At 43.2% G+C, this 17,168-nt stretch overlaps 1 protein-coding gene across 14 annotated transcripts in view, besides 1 other annotated feature; it reads left to right on the top strand.

The window, feature by feature from the left end:
- ELMO1 (engulfment and cell motility 1) overlaps positions 1-17,168 on the top strand; it is a 596,421-nt gene that overhangs the window by 150,053 nt on the left and 429,200 nt on the right. The window lies entirely within an intron of this gene.
- Positions 12,935-13,229: a silencer, noted in NCBI's record as "tiled region #7000; HepG2 Repressive non-DNase unmatched - State 24:Quies". NCBI's record gives its function as "represses a minimal TATA promoter and a strong SV40 promoter by Sharpr-MPRA in HepG2 cells {active_cell/tissue: HepG2}" and the evidence as "EXISTENCE:reporter gene assay evidence [ECO:0000049][PMID:27701403]".

Below are 17,168 nucleotides of genomic sequence, written 5' to 3'. Positions count from 1 at the left end.
CCATCAGAGTGAACAGGCAACCTACAAAAATGGGAGAAAATTTTCACAACCTACTCATCTGACAAAGGGCTAATACCCAGAATCTACAATGAACTCAAACAAATTTACAAGAAAAAAACAAACAACCCCATCAAAAAGTGGGCGAAGGACATGAACAGACACTTCTCAAAAGAAGACATTTATGCAGCCAAAAAACACATGAAAAAATGTTCATCATCACTGGCCATCAGAGAAATGCAAATCAAAACCACAATGAGATACCATCTCACACCAGTTAGAATGGCAATCATTAAAAAGTCAGGAAACAACAGGTGCTGGAGAGGATGTGGAGAAATAGGAACACTTTTACACTGTTGGTGGGACTGTAAACTAGTTCAACCATTGTGGAAGTGAGTGTGGCGATTCCTCAGGGATCTAGAACTAGAAATACCATTTGACCCAGCCATCCCATTACTGGGTATATACCCAAATGACTATAAATCATGCTGCTATAAAGACACATGTACACGTATGTTTATTGCGGCATTATTCACAATAGCAAAGACTTGGAAGCAACCCAAATGTCCAACAATGATAGACTGGATTAAGAAAATGTGGCACATATACACCATGGAATACTATGCAGCCATAAAAAATGATGAGTTCATGTCCTTTGTAGGGACATGGATGAAATTGGAAATCATCATTCTCTGTAAACTATCGCAAGAACAAAAAACCAAACACCGCATATTCTCACTCATAGGTGGGAATTGAACAATGAGAACACATGGACACAGGAAGGGGAATATCACACTCTGGGGACTGTGGTGGGGTCGGGGGAGGGAGGAGGGATAGCATTGGGAGATATACCTAATGCTAGATGACGAGTTAGTGGGTGCAGCACACCAGCATGGCACATGTATACATATGTAACTAACCTGCACAATGTGCACATGTACCCTAAAACTTAAAGTATAATAAAAAAAAAAACTCTTAAAAAAAAAAAACAAAAAAAACTTCCTAGTCTTGTCCACCTACTTTTATTCTACCTTTTTGATGTTCAGGTCCCCCCTCTCTTGTAGCTCTAGACTTGTCAGCACTGTAGTTAGGTTTAGATTTTTAGATGCTAAAAAATGAGGTACCACTTTACTGATTTAATACAACTAGTATAAAGCATTCTTTTTTCAGTGTCTGCTGCTCTGAAGCAAGCAGATACAAAATCTCAAGTATCTTCAAAAAACATTTACACAGATTAGGCATATTGAGACATATTAGAAAAAAGTAAATTAAAAAAAGATCAAAATCCTATTACTTAGAGAAAACCAATGGCATTCTACTGTATCTACTTCAAACATATTTAAGTCTAGAAGTATATTTGTGTTTTACAAGTGTGTAAAATATACACATTGTTTCACAGCTCTAGACTTAATATATAGCAGCCATCATAACACAGTAGTTAGTATACTCAGCCTACTTTATTATATAATGAGGATTAAACAAGGTAATGCCAACAACACAGTTTGCAAGGCACTTGGCCCATAGTCATTCCTCAGTGAGTCATATTTCCTATTTATTTGTCAAACTTTCCTAATGGCTGAAAAGAATTCAACTCAATTCTTGAAGTCAGTTCTTTGTATTTGGACTTTTAAATTGTTTATCTTCCTCTCTCTGTCTTTTTTTTTTTTCAAGCAGTGCTAAAGGGGCCATTCTTCAAAGTAAGTCTTTATGTAGTTCCTTAACTATTTCATTATAAACTATTGATAAAAGTTGAATGATGAGTCAAAGAAATTGTGTCATCTAGGTATATGTGGCCATCATTTATGGAGGACCCCCTAGGTGCCAGGCACTTTCATGAGTTATTTCATTTAAGCTTTTAGGATTCACAGTAGTCTTAGACATTTGGGAGTTTTAGGTCACATAGCTTCTGAATGCCGGAATTGGAACTGAAATAAGATCTTTTATATTATTGTGAAGAAAGTTCCATTTCAGCAACTTTTCACAGGTGCTTCAGGAATTGCAGAAGGAGTTGACTTATACAACCTTTAAAAATATTGTTTTGAATGATTTAAACATGAATAAAACAATCAGCGTAAACTCTGATAATGGATAGGAGCACAGTGAAGGCAAGCTTTATTATTATTATTAAGATGCCAGGCTAAGTTGATTTTGAGAGAGCCTCAATATAAAGCATTTCATTTCCTCCTCCCCCATGCATATATTTACACTTCTTATAAAATATGTCATTGACTGGGAAGATTGCTTTTATCTTAAATCAGGCATGAATCCACCCACTCAAGAAAAATCATCTCAGCAAGTTCGCTGCTGCTGCACCTGTGTCCTTGGCTCATGGAAGGTCAGGGATAGTTCAGGCGTATTGGCTTGAGAGCATGTCAGGTGTCTAATGAAAGAGAAAACCTAATTTTCCTCTTTTCTGTAAGTTTTGAGTACTTTTCCCCGATTTCCAGTATTTATTATAAGAAAGGAGTTGAGATTAGATGTTATTTATACAAATTTACATGATGAAATAAATATCCAAGTATCTGGAAAGATTCCTGAGATTTCAAGGTAAACTTTTAAAAGCAATTTCCAGCTAATGCTCTGTGTTGACAGATAATGCCTTGTGTATGATATGGTAAGTGGAATTCTGAGATGGCCCCAAGATTCCCACACCCCTAGTGTTACACACCCATCTAATCCCTGTCTCTTGAATGTGATCTGGGTCTGTGAATAAGAGGGGCTATCACTTCTGTGATTGTGTCACAGCGTATGGCAACGAGGATTTTGTAGGTGTCATTAAGGTCTTCAATCAGTCGATTTGGGAGTAATCAAAAGGGAGAATATCTTGGTAGGCCTGACCTAATCAGATAGACTTTTAAAAGAAGGTGAAGCATTAACGAGATGTCTTCCTGTTGGCCCCGAGAAATAGCGAACTGCCATGTTGTGGAGAGGGCTACAGAGAAAGGCCCTAAGATCAACCTCTCAGAGCTGAGAGGGGTCCCTGGCCAACAGCCAGTGGGAAATAGAGGGAAGAGGGATCTTGGTTGTGTAATCACAAGAAATGAATTCTACAACAACCTGAGTGAATGTGGAAGAGGGCTCTGAATTTCAAATGAGGACCCAGCTGACTGACACCTTGATTTCACCCCTCACAGACACCCAGCTAAAAGGTGCTAGACTCCTGATCCATAGAAACTGTGGAGACAGCTAAAAGGTGCTAGACTCCTGATCCATAGAAACTGTGGAGATAAATATATCTGTGCTGTTTTAAACTCTTAGATTTCTGGTAATTTGTTATACAGCAATGGAAAACTGGTAAATACACGGTGGGAATGTATTCACGTTTCCTCCACATTAAGTAAGGCAACAACACACAAAAGCGTATTGAATGTGGAAGCTTGCTATATTATTATAATGATCACCTATAATATCAGAGATTGAGTTTTTATGTTAATAAAAGTCTTATTATTCCTGCCTATTACCTTAATAAAATATACATTGACAAACCTAAGCTCAAAAAACATATTAATGTTGATACAATACTTCTTTCTCTATTTGGGCTCTGAGGCATTATCTGAGCTTTTTTTCCTCCTTCTAGAACAAAAAGTTTCCATTATTTGAAAACAACTGTCTTGACTAATAGGTGCTTTTTAAAAAGACTGCATTTTGGTTGTTGTAAGAATGTAACTGTTGGCAGGGAAAGGAAAAGCAAGATTGTGCAAGGCTAATTTATAGTCAGTACATTGTTTCAAAGTGTATGTTTATCTTTAATTGTTCTCTCATTACAAAGTAAAGCATAGATGTAAGAAATCCAGCCATCGTTTCAGACAGATGAGTTTTGTGCTAGTGATACTGTTTTTTAAAGTCAGAATTCATTTAAGTAGTAATTTAAAAACTTTTAAATCATACAATATTTCAAACATATCAAAAAACTACAAAAAATGATATAACTGACACTTGTACAGCCCACTGTCTGGATGTTGATAGATGTTAACATTTTGCCTACTGTTTTGCATCACCTTTAAAAAACCTTCCAAGCATAGCTAAAACCTTACTCTATCAAATTTTCTATCTCTCCTTCTATTCCTCTCTCCCCAGAGGTAAGTAGTAGCCTGAAATTGAAGTATATCATTCTCATGAATGTTTTATAGGTTTTCTACATAGGTATGTGCTTATGAATAATATCAAGAATTGTTTTATGTGTTAAAATTTAAAGCATTGATATCCTACTCTAGGTAACTTTTGCATTTAATTTTTTCACTCAGTAATATTTTTGAGATGAATTTTTTTTTTTTTTTGAGGCGGAGTTTTGTTGTTGTTGCCCAGGCTGGAGTGCGATGGCGGATTGTGGCTCATTGCAACCTCCGCCTCTTGGGTTCAAGTGATTCTCCTGCCTCAGCCTCCCAAGTAGCTGGGGTTACAGGCGCCTGCCACCACACCCAGCTAATTTTTGTATTTGTAGTAGAGAAGGGGTTTCACTGTGTTGGCCAGGCTGGTCTCGAACTTCTGACCTCAGGCGATCCACCTGCCTCTGCCTCCCAAAGTGTTGGGATTACAGGCGTGAGCCCCCGCGCCTGGCCTGAGATGAATTTATGATATCCCATGACATAAATAAAACACAGTTGATTTATCCATTTTTTTAACCAATAATCACTTGTTTCCTCAATTTTGGTATCACAAAGAATACTGTACTATGCATGTATTTGTGTGGGGCTGTTTAAAAGTTTCTCTAGAATAGAATGTAGAAAGCTTTTGGATTAGAGGGAAGGTCATTCTCAACTTTACTGCTTTTCAAAGTGGTTCTACTAGCTTGCAGTCCCACCCGCAATTATCAGCTTTTCTATTCCCGTCACCCTGACCAGTGCTTGTTTGCATAGCCTGGCTAATGTTAGCCATGGCTAGGACACCATGGGACTTCTCCTGTCCTTTTTTTTTTTTTTTTAAATGGCTTCTCGCTCAGTCACCTAGGCTGGAGTGCAGTGGCAGGATCTCGGCTCACTGCAACCTCCGCCTCCCGGGTTCAAGGGATTCTCCTGTCTCAGCCTCCCAAGTAGCTGGGATTATAGGTGCAAAGGAGAGAATACCCAAGCCTATGAGTAGAAAAGTGGGTTATGTGCAAAGAATTAAACAGGCAGATCAAGATCTTCTTGCAGTGTGAAGTCAACGTAAACATAGTTCCAGATTTGTATTGATTCTGAAAATATATTAATCTTTTACCTGTATTTTAAAAAGTATATGCCATCTGAATGAGAGAAAACATCAGATAACAAATTCAAGAGTGTAAGTTTTATGGTGTCAAAAGGGCAGTAACAACTGATAACTCTTAGTTCAAATAACTGTATAAAATTTACTCAATGACACCAAAAGCAAATCTCAATTTTATATATATGAAAGAAGATATAGACTACAGAAGTTATTTAATTAAAATCTTAGTGGAAAACTTAAAATTATATTGTGAAACCCAGGAATGAAATTGATTATGATAGAAAAAAGTTTTTAAATTTAACAGTTCCTTTTTTTTTTTTTTTTTTGGATATAGAGTTTCACTCTTTTTTTTTATTATTATTATTATTTTTTTTTTTATTGATCATTCTTGGGTGTTTCTTACAGAGGGGGATTTGGCAGGGTCACAGGACAATAGTGGAGGGAAGGTCAGCAGATAAACAAGTGAACAAAGGTCTCTGGTTTTCCTAGGCAGAGGACCCTGCGGCCTTCCGCAGTGTTTGTGTCCCTGGGTACTTGAGATTAGGGAGTGGTGATGACTCTTAAGGAGCATGCTGCCTTCAAGCATCTGTTTAACAAAGCACAACTTGCACCGCCCTTAATCCATTCAACCCTGAGTGGATACAGCACATGTGTCAGAGAGCACAGGGTTGGGGGTAAGGTCACCGATCAACAGGATCCCAAGGCAGAAGAATTTTTCTTAGTACAGAACAAAATGAAAAGTCTCCCATGTCTACCTCTTTCTACACAGACACGGCAACCACCCGATTTCTCAATCTTTTCCCCACCTTTCCCCCCTTTCTATTCTACAAAACCGCCATTGTCATCATGGCCCATTCTCAATGAGCTGTTGGGTACACCTCCCAGACGGGGTGGTGGCCGGGCAGAGGGGCTCCTCACTTCCCAGTAGGCGCGGCCAGGCAGAGGCGCCCCTCACCTCCCAGACGGGGTGGCTGGCCGGACGGGGGGCTGACCCCCCCCCACCTCCCTCCCGGACGGGGCGGCTGGCCGGGCAGGGGGCTGACCCCCCCACCTCCCTCCCGGACGGGGCGGCTGGCTGGGCAGAGTGGCTCCTCACTTCCCAGTAGGGGCGGCCGGGCAGAGGCGCCCCTCACTTCCCGGACGGGGCGGCTGGCCAGGCGGGGGACTGACCCCGCCACCTCCCTCCCGGACGGGGCGGCTGGCCGGGCAGAGGGGCTCCTCACTTCCCAGTAGGGGTGGCCGGGCAGAGGCGCCCCTCACCTCCCGGACAGGGCGGCTGGCCGGGCGGGGGGCTGACCCCCCCACCTCCCTCCCTCCCAGACGGGGTGGCTGGCCGGGCGGGGGGCTGACCCCCCCACCTCCCTCCCGGACGGGGCGGCTGCCGGGCGGAGACGCTCCTCACTTCCCAGACGGGGTGGCTGCTGGGCGGAGGGGCTCCTCACTTCTCAGACGGGGCGTCCAGGCAGAGACGCTCCTCACATCCCGGACGGGGCAGCAGGGCAGAGGTGCTCCCCACATCTCAGACGATGGGCGGCCGGGCAGAGACGCTCCTCACTTCCCAGATGTGATGGCGGCCGGGAAGAGGCGCTCCTCACTTCCTAGATGGGATGGCGGCCAGGCAGAGACGCTCCTCACTTTCCAGACTGGGCAGCCAGGCAGAGGGGCTCCTCACATCGCAGATGATGGGCGGCCAGGCGGAGACGCTCCTCACTTCCCAGACGGGGTGGCGGCCGGGCAGAGGCTGCAATCTCGGCACTTTGGGAGGCCAAGGCAGGAGGCTGGGAGGTGGAGGTTGTAGCGAGCCGAGATCACGCCACTGCACTCCAGCCTGGGCACCATTGAGCACTGAGTGAACGAGACTCCGTCTGCAATCCCGGCACCTCGGGAGGCCGAGGCTGGCGGATCACTCGCGGTTAGGAGCTGGAGACCAGCCCGGCCAACACAGCGAATCCCCATCTCCACCAAAAAAATACGAAAACCAGTCAGGCGTGGCGGTGCGCGCCTGCAATCGCAGGTACTGGGCAAGCTGAGGCAGGAGAATCAGGCAGGGAGGTTGCAGTGAGCCGAGATGGCAGCAGTACCGTCCAGCTTCGGCTCGGCATCAGAGGGAGACCGTGGAAAGAGAGGGAGAGGGAGACCGTGGGCAGAGGGAGAGGGAGGGGGAGGGGGAGGGAGAGGGAGCAGAGTTTCACTCTTGTAGCCCAGGCTGCGGTGCAGTGGTGTGATCTCGGCTCACTGCAACCTCCACTTCCCGGGTTCAAGCTATTCTTCTGCCTCAGCCTCCTGAGTAGCTGGGACTACAGGCACCCACCCCCACACCTGGCTAATTTTTGTATTTTTAGTAGAGACGGAGTTTCACCATGTTGGCCAGGCTGGTCTCAAACTCCTGACCTCAGGTGATCCACCCACCTCGGCCTTCCACAGTGCTGGGATTATAAGCATGGGCCACCACGCCTGGCCTACGTGTCTTTAATTTGCATTTCTCCAACTGCTGAGGCTGAGCATATTTTTCTGTGTTTATTATCTAGTCAGTTTTCCCTTCTATAAACTGCCTATACATTCTTTGTCCAATAGTGGGTTTGGAGTGTTTCATTGTCATGGATTTACAGGAGTTGTTTATATGTTGTGGACACAAATTCTTTTTCCTAAATTTCTACCCAGTCCATAGTTGTTTTTTCTATTGTGTCTTTTGTCAAACAGAGGTTTATAAGACCATTTTAATCAATCAGATTTGTCCTTTTTTCCCTTTTGTTACTTGGGCTTTTTGCATTTTATTTAAAAGCACTTTCTCTAGCTATATATTTTAAAGAGATTCTCTTGTGTTTTATTTCAAAAGTTAGAAAGTTTTGATTTTCATATAGGTCATCAATCTATTTTGAAAGTGTGTGTAGGGGGTATTATATGGCGATCTAATTTTATCTTTTGATGGAGACAGCCAGTTGTCTTACCACTGTTTATTGCATTATTCATTACCTATCTGCCACTTCCATGACTTGCATTGTCACTTCTTTCATATGTCAAGGTTTTGTGAATATAGGGGTTTCTGTGGCTCTCTATTTTGTACCATTATCATACAGCTTTGATAGCTTCCAACTAACAAGACTAGATTTCTAGTAGAGTGAATGTCTGTGCCTTTTTCTTCCTCTTTCTCTTCTCTTCTTCAGTGTCATCATCTTCTTGTTCTTCTTTTTCTCTTCCTCTGTTCTTCCTCTTCTTCTCTGTCATCATCATCATCATCATCAAAATCACCCTGCTTCTGCCTTTTACTCCTCCATATGAATTTTAGCATATGCTTGTCAAATCCCATTAGAATTTTGATTAAAATTGAATTGAATTTATGGACTAATTTTGGGAAAAATTTGCATTCTCTAAGATATTGCCTATCCCATCTATGAAAACAATATATTGTTCTATTTATTAGAATATTCTTTAACATTTTCAATAAAGCTTAACCATTTTTGCCCTTAAAGTTTTTATACGTATATTTAGTAAGATATATGCCTAGGTACCTCAGAATTTTGTATCCATCATAAATTGTACGTGTTTTAAGCACTTCCATTGTTTATAGCTGTTTATATAGCTCTTATTGAATAGTTTCTGTGTATAGCAAATTCTGTTGAGCTTAATTAATTTCTGCAAATACACTGAGATGTATTTATCATCTTTTAAAGATTAACAAAATAAGTATCAGAGATTACATAATTTTAATATGATTATATATGACTAGTGTACACCCTGGATTTGAACTTAGTTTTAGCTAAATCTTTACCTTTTTCTGAGAGCCTTTCCTTTTACATCAGCTAATGTTTCTCTGACGTATGTTATCTTGTTTAGCAGGATTTTTTTTAATACTAAAAAACTAAAATCTCATTATAGAGCCTGTATGTGAAAGAGGCACTTAATTCACCCAGTATATGTCTCTTAATATCAGTTAATTAATTCATCTGGATAGCCACATTCATGGCAGAGAGTAAGTCTATAAAATAAATGCTTTTTCTGGTCATTATCTTTGGATCAGCTCTTAAGGAAAACACCCATCCTAATTGAATTAGCGTGGCTTTCCCAATTGCTCACTGTCTTACTTATGCTTAGGCCTATGTTGCATTAGTCCCTCCCAACAGATCTGGAGGCAAGGCCTAGAGCATAGTGTGGGTGGTCCAGGGCCAAAGGAGAAAAGCTAATGTGGTAAGGTAAGATGAAGACAAGTTTTTAATGCTTGTAATGTTGAACTGTTTAACTCTCTCCTCTGACACCTAGTATCCCTACTAACTCCTCCAGAAAAGCCTCAGATTTTAATTTCACTCCTGGCAAAAAAAAGAGAAAATAGAGAAGATAGAGGGAAAAAAATCTCGAATGCAATGCAAGTGAAAGCCCATTCTTTCTCTGGTGTGTGCTGCTGGGTTGTTTGCTTCCAGCTGTCAGTCCAGATCCCATTTGTCTGGGGTTTCTTTCTGGCATCCTCTCTTCGTCTCATACTAGGCCCTTCCTCTTAGGGCTGGAGCAGGTGCATTTCTGGGAATGGTTCTGGACAGCTTTTTGAGCCTCAGAGCACAGTAGTTATAGATGCCTGGGGCTGTTTGTAACTTTGCTTCAGTGTTGAGGCTGCCTGGTGCTGTGGCGTTAGTGAACAGCTGATGACAGATGGTTCATTTCTGTGCAGGATGTGTTGCAGACATGTGGATTGGTAGTGGAACCTGAGCAAATATATCTCAACTCTCTCTTTTAAAAAATGCTTAATAATAAGTGTGCCCATAGTAGGTATGAAATAAATATCCACTCGTTGACTGAAGGTTATAGCATAGGGAAAGAAAGGAAAGATGGTTTGAAATTTATTTGGATTGTGAGAGAGGGGAAGGGGTTGTTACCAGTGAGCTTTAGTTTATAGATATTTTCACTATTGTTCCAGACTCTGTTATGATTATAATATTCATTCTATTCACTCAAAAAGCATTTGATGAACACATTTGATATACCAGGCACCATTCAAGGCACTGGTGATGAACTAAACATGGAGATGCCCATTCTTCTTGGGCATCTGTTCTTTTGGGTGTGGAAACTGACAGGAAAGACTTAGAAAACGAACAAGGCAATTAATTTTAGATCGAGGTAAGAGCTATGAGGAAAATGGAGTAGGACAGCCCCCAAAAAAGACATGGGGGCAGAGTGTGGTAGGTGTTGCTGCTTTGGTTTACCCTGCTAAGTGCTTGGCCATAGAATATAGGTTCAAGTATGACCCAGAAATATGACTTGCCTAGGTTCATGTTTATAAACAACCAGATTTCAAAAAATAAGACTACATGTGGGTGTACATGGTTTCCAGAATTGAGGGCTTAAGGCCTTTCATCCTCCAACCATATGAGTGTCAAAACTTATACACTAAGGCAGTCATTCCGCCATCAAGATTTGTGCTAACCAAGGTTAATGTCTGGGTTCTCCATCTTCGCAATGTGGTTGTGCCAGCTTGGGGCAATCAGCCTCACTCTGCAAGGCCCTGGTTGTCCATCTGTAGGCCTTGGCCAAGATTGCTTTAAGGTATCAGGGAAGGTCTCTTTAAAGAGGTGACACAAGGTGGGGCATGTAATCCTCATGCCTGTAATCCCAGCACTTTGGGAGGATGAGGTGGGCGGATCACCTGAGGTGGAGAGTTCAAGACCAGCCTGACCAACATGGAGAAACCCCATCTCTACTAATAATACAAAAATGAGCCGGGCATGGTGGCGCATGCCTGTAATTCCAGCTACTTGGGAGGCTGAGGCAGGAGAATCGCTTGAACCCAGGAGGCAGAGATTGCAGTGAGCCGAGATCGTGCCATTGCACTCCAGCCTGGGGAACAAGAGTGAAACTCCATCTCAAAAAAAAAAAAGTGACACTTTGGGAGGCCAAGGCTGGCAGATCACCTGAGGTCAGGAGTTTGAGACCCACCTGGCCAACATGGTGAAACCCTGTCTCTACCAAAAATACAAAAATTAGCTGGGTGTGGTGGTGCACACCTGTAATCCAAACTACTTGGGAGACTGAGGCAGAAGAATTGCTTGACCTGGGAGGCAGAGGTTTCAGTGAGCTGAGATCGCACCACTGCACTCCAGCCTGGGCAACAGAGTGAGACTCTGTCTCAAACAAACAAACAAATAAACAAAAAAAAGGTGACATTTGAGCCAAGACTGGAGGATAACAGGGAGCCAGACCCTAGCATTGTAGGAAAAGAAACAGCCAGCAGAAAAGTCCTGCAGCATGAAAGAGCTTGGTGTGTTAGAGAACAAAAGGGAACAGGATAGTGAGCTGGAAGTGAGAGGAGGTACCAGAGAAATTGTCGATGTTGACTAGGGCTGCATCACAGTGTCTTCTAAACTATAGTGGGAATTTGGATCTCCTTCCAAGTACAATGAAAAGCTACTATTTTATCCTGGGGTTCATGAACTTATGTAGGAGGAACACTACAGCCATATAAAAACGTAAACTTTTCATTGCTTGAATCACAAATGTCAGCAACAAGCCATGATAGGATAAGCAGTATCTGTGCCTTTATTATGAACAGAAATTAAAGTACATCCATTTATTACTGTTTATCACAGTTATCTCTAAATATCATTTATCATCTTATGCCTAATTAGAAATTATGGTAGTTATTAGACCTTACAACAGATCTTGTTATTTAATGCTTTAATACAGGGGTCAGCAACTATAGCCTGTGGACTATGTCCAAGCTGCCACCTGTTTTTGTACATAAAACTTACTGGAACACAGCCAAACCCATTTATTTACATATCACAGTTGCAACAGAGGTATTCTAGCCTGCAGTGCTTAAAATGCTTACTGTCTGGCTGGAAAAAGATTGCTGACACGTGCATTGATAAAGCAGCATATATATTACTATGATACAATTTTTTTTTTTTTTTTTGAGAAGGAGTCTCTTGCTCTGTTGCCCAGACTGGAGTGCAGTGGCGTGATCTCGGCTCATTGCAACCTCCACCTCCCGGGTTCAAGCGATCCTTCTGTCTCAGCCTCTCAAATAGCTGGAACTATAGGCATATGCCACCACGCCTGGCTAATTTTTGTATTTTTAGTAGAGACAGGGTTTCACCGTATTGGCCAGGCTGCTGTCAAACTCCTGACCTCGTGATCTGCCCGCCTCCACCTCCCAAAGTGCTGGGATTAGAGGCATGAGCCACTGTGCCCAGCCTATGATACAATTTTTAAAATATTTGGATAACTGTTTGGTTTCTTTGCAAGCTTATTTATTTTATTTTATGCATTTAAAAACATTCTGAAAAGAAGATCCATAGACTTCACCAGAGTTCTCTAAGACATCCATGACTAGGAAAAAAAGAGAAAGAAAAAGAATCCCTATATTTCATTATCTAAGGCTGGGGATCCAAATGGGCGGACTTGTATTTATTTCCTCTGCCTGAGATTCTCTCCCTTCTCTCCCTCCTTCTTTGGCAGATTTTCCATTTCTTTTGGAGTGTGGTACTGAAGCTGCCTCCTTTTTATGAATAATATATTGGATCCTACACATTTACTGAATGAGCCAAGCAGAGGCTTTATTAGCAGTGTCCAGTGTAATGCCCATAATAACACTGTGTGGTGTGGGTCTGACTGTCTTCATGTGGCACTGCAGAAAGGGAGGCCCCAAGACGTTGTCTTGCCCATCATTCATTTACCCTGTATTCACTGAGCACCTATTGCTTGCCAGGGGCTGTGCCAAATTCCCAGGTGACAAAGCTGTTACTGGTGAAGCCAAGTTTTGGATCAGGCCCATCTGACACTAGTGTCTGGGTGGCTAATGCCACAGCAGGTTATGTTCAGGATGTCATGTGACACCCTGCTGCCTCAAGCTTGGCCACTCCTCCATCCCTAGTGTTTCCAGCCGCATTGTTCCTTGGCTGTGAGCTGTAAATGTTTTTATCTCATCCTCTCTCCACAGACCACTATTTGCATTGTTTTGCCTAGAATGGGCCATGGAGTTAGTATTTTCCCAGCTGTAGTAGCATCTTCAGTGATCCCTGCTCATGCCACTGGAATGGCCCTTTAAAAATGTTTTTTTTTTTCTTTTTACAAGCATGAGTTTCTTTCCTATAAGTGCAGCTCTTTTTTCTTGTCTCTGTAGCACTTTGTGGCTTTCTGAGACCACAGGCTCTAACTTGCCCATTGCACCCCATGTTTAAGCATTTGCACATGTCGTTTGATTGAGGGGTAAGTTAAAACTGCTGGCAGTGGGAAGGGCTGGCAATCAGGTCTCTTATCTCAAGTGGATGGAAAAATAAGGCTGTTCAACGTGGTTCGCTCAACTCGTACAGGTCCCTTCTGTGCAAAACCAGGGAGATTGCTTCTCCCCTGGAAACACAGGCACTCCTCATTGGCTGGGTTGGGCAAATACCCATAATATTAGGCATTTTTCCTGCTTTTTTCCCCTTCTTTTGCAGGTTGCAAGTGATGGCAATGTACATGGGATTCTCAAACTGGTCACCAGTACTTAGTGCATGAACACACATTATATTCTATATGTTTGGTGCAATTTTGCTATTTTGCATTCTGCTTTTGTCACCACAATACAGTGTCCCAGGGTCCCATATTACTGAACATTCTTTCATAGCAGCACTTCGATGGCTACATGGTGTATCTTTGGCCTGCCTTACCATAATTTGCTTCAGTTTTCCTTTGTGTTAGGGGACATTTGCAAGACTTTGTATATCAGCCAGCATCTAGTCAGGATACAGAAACCATACTGTTATTTAAACAGGGTATATTCCAATGTAAATGATTGACAACTAGTAGAAGCTGGTTAGTTGTGAGTAAAAGAGAACTCTTATGGGTCCAGAAGAAGCTGTTGCAGAAAAGAAGCTATGGCCTCCAGTTTGAGGAAGAGTGGGCAGTTGAGGAACTAAAGACCAAGAGCGGGCATTGCTCGTCCCCCAGAGTTCTTCAGAGAGGGCATGGCCACCACAGGGACATCACCACCCACGGGTGATGCAGAAACTTGTCAGAGGAAAGCAGCTGGCCAGCTGGCTGTGCAGCACTATAGACGTGTCTCTGTTGCCAGAAGCTTGGGTAGGCAGAACTGCTTTGAAGCAGTCCCTGGTAGGGAGAGCAGAGCCCGGGTGCAGGAGGCCTGAGGCCTTCCCCATGGAATAGTAATGGTGGATCCCAAAGGGAATGTCCTTTCCCCAGGCAGAATCACTCCAGTGCCCTCTATTGGTGAAGTGTCACATTGCCGCAGCTGGCAACCTGTCAGAAAGCAGGGCCAAGAATGGTTTTGAGTTGAGAGACAATAAATGAATAACTGGAATATTTGGGCTTGCTTTTAGCTTTTTTTTTTCTTTAAACCGTTTTGCAGTAAACATCTTTCATAAAATGTTGATTGCATCTCTGATATGTTGGTAGGATAAATTCATAGAATTTGAACATTTCAAAGGCCTTAGTCATATGTTACAAAACCATCCTATTGACTCTCCTAGTTGTTGTATATGGGAGCAAAGGCATATAGCCTTGTTATAGAACTTGTTACTCCTTAACCTTTTGAATCTTGGCCTTGTTTGCTGGGTTGTTAACTCTGAGGCTGGGAGATGCTCAGAGCCAGCGATGTCAAGGTTGGAGCCTGCAGTCTGATGTAATAAGGGCCAAGCTCTGCCGTGGAGGGAGGGAGTAGTGTGTTGCTGAAGTCCTCCCTCACCTCGCTCAGTCTTCTGAACGCATTCCCTTCCCATCTCATTCACTGCTTCAACAAATTCATTCCCTAAAACATCCCCTTCATCACATCAGTAATCTTGCTCAAAAGCTGTAAATGTTTCCTCTTTGTTTATGGCAATGCAAATGAAAGAGGAGGGGAGAGAACTGACCTATGGCCCTGGGTCCGTTGCCTCCATTCAGTTGTTGAGGGTCTGAAGCAAATTGACATGCCCAGGGTCACGTGGGAAGTAAGTTGGTCAGGGCCAACCAGGGCTTCCTTCCTCCCAGTCCTCTGCTTCTCCCAGATACCAGACCATTGTTGCTCCATCTCCCTAACTCCTCATTGTCCTCCCAGCACAGCACCTGTCCCACGAGAGGTTTTATTAATGTGTATCATACTCCCCTAGTGCTCACACTATCTCTGAACTCTTATGGGTCCAGAAGAAGCAGTTGCAGAAAAGAAGCTGTGGCCTCCAGTTTGAGGAAGAGTGGGCAGTTGAGGAACTAAAGACCAAGAGCAGGCATTGCTTGTCCCCCAGGGTTCTTCAAAGAGGGCATGGCCACCACAGGGACATCACAACCTACGGATGGTGCATAAACTTGTCAGAGGAAAGCAGCTGGCCGCTGGCTGTGCAGCACTATAGACGTGTCTCTGTTGCCAGAAGCTTGGATAGGCAGAGCTGCTTTGAAGCAGTCCCTGGTAGGGAGAGCAGAGGCCGGACGCAGGAGGCTTGAGGCCTTCCCCATGGAATCATAATGGTGGATCCCAAAGGGAATGCCCTTGCTGGGGCTGCCCCACTGTCTGAAATGCAAAGATGGCCCCCCTCAGCTGCTGTGCTTAAGGGGACTGCCTACACCTAACTTCAAGGCCAAGTCCAAGATTCACATCTACATAATTACATTCCATTACTGTTTAACAGATTAGAGTCAGTAATTCTTATCCTGGGGTATTAGAGATGTGGACATGAACTGGGTTCTACCCTGAGCTTTTAGTCCCCAGCCTAGACACCAGGCAAAAAGTAGGTATGTGCTGGCTCCTATCATGTGAAATTGGCTAAGGAAGCAAGCAACTTGGTGTCTTTGGACAGGGGGCTGCTTTTTTTAAATTAAATTTAATCTTTTTTTTGAGCAGTCGTGGACATCTGGTTGTGCATGTCCCTTTAAGGCGAGTTTGTCGTCTCCAGAAAAGCATGTTGTTCTTTCTCTCTATCTTCCACAAGTCCTTGATTAAAACACTGAAGGAGACAGACAGGCTCCTTCTGTCCTTTCCCTCAGGCTTGCCATGTCCTGGCAGATTCCCTGGGCTCCTGGGAACTGTCTACCCATCTCTGTCTGCTCCTTTTGACCCAGATCTTATTACAGATACAGAGAGAGCAAACCATTTATTGCAGAACAGGCCCTTCACCTTCATGTTCTGTGTTTATAGACCACAAATAGGTAGTTAATAGATATCTCTTAATACTTGTTCTTTCTTTTTTTGGCTTTGGGAATTTGGTACAGGATATCTGGGTCCTGTGGAAAGTGAAATGATGCGAGAAAAAGACAACAGCTGAAAATGGAATCCTCACTTAGGAGCATGAAAAAAGTAGAAAAGAAGTCAAACCACAAATTCTTCAAATTAATGGGTGGGAATGAAGTGCTGCCACTCTAATGGGGTGGCGGGGCTGCTGTTTCTGATGGTGAGCAGCCCCTGCAAGGCTAGAGCCTCAGTTATGGGGAATGGGCATTTACAGCAGCTGACCACTTTTTCTTCCTTATCCTTCTTCCTCATTCCCACCTGCCTTTTTTCCCCTGTTTCTTTTTTTGGGGGGTGGTGTCTGGATTTTATTTTAGGGTATTTCTAATATGCTTCCTTAACGGTCGATCCGTAGTCCTGTCTGGAGACATTGCTGTGTAACTTAGCAACCAGCGTATCATATATTGCCCTCAGTTGTTTCATTAGCCTGAAGATGTGAACATCAAAAAAATGGACACACAGTTGGACAAAAGCGATCAGGCTTGCATGCAAAAACAGTTTCTGTGATGATTAAGAAATGGACCTGAAGAACAGCATTATTTTACAGTAACATATCCAAAGTAAGGGTGTCCTCATATCTGGAGAAAGAGACAGACACAGACAAGGATGGAGAGGGAGTGAGAAGAGACAGAGCCAGGGAAGATGCTGGAGCTGCCTGCCCTCCACAGGGCCTGAACGCAGAGGATCGGAAGCCTTCCTCCCTGTGGACCTCCTGTTGTCCTTGCTAAAAAACAGGAAGGAGAATAGAATTGGGATTTTTGAGTAGGCATAATTCTTCATTTATCTGACTAAGTAGAAAAGTTGG

This window comes from Homo sapiens, chromosome 7, assembly GCF_000001405.40.
Source record: "Homo sapiens chromosome 7, GRCh38.p14 Primary Assembly".
NCBI lineage: Eukaryota > Metazoa > Chordata > Mammalia > Primates > Hominidae > Homo > Homo sapiens.
This window is presented reverse-complemented; position numbering and strand designations above follow the sequence as displayed.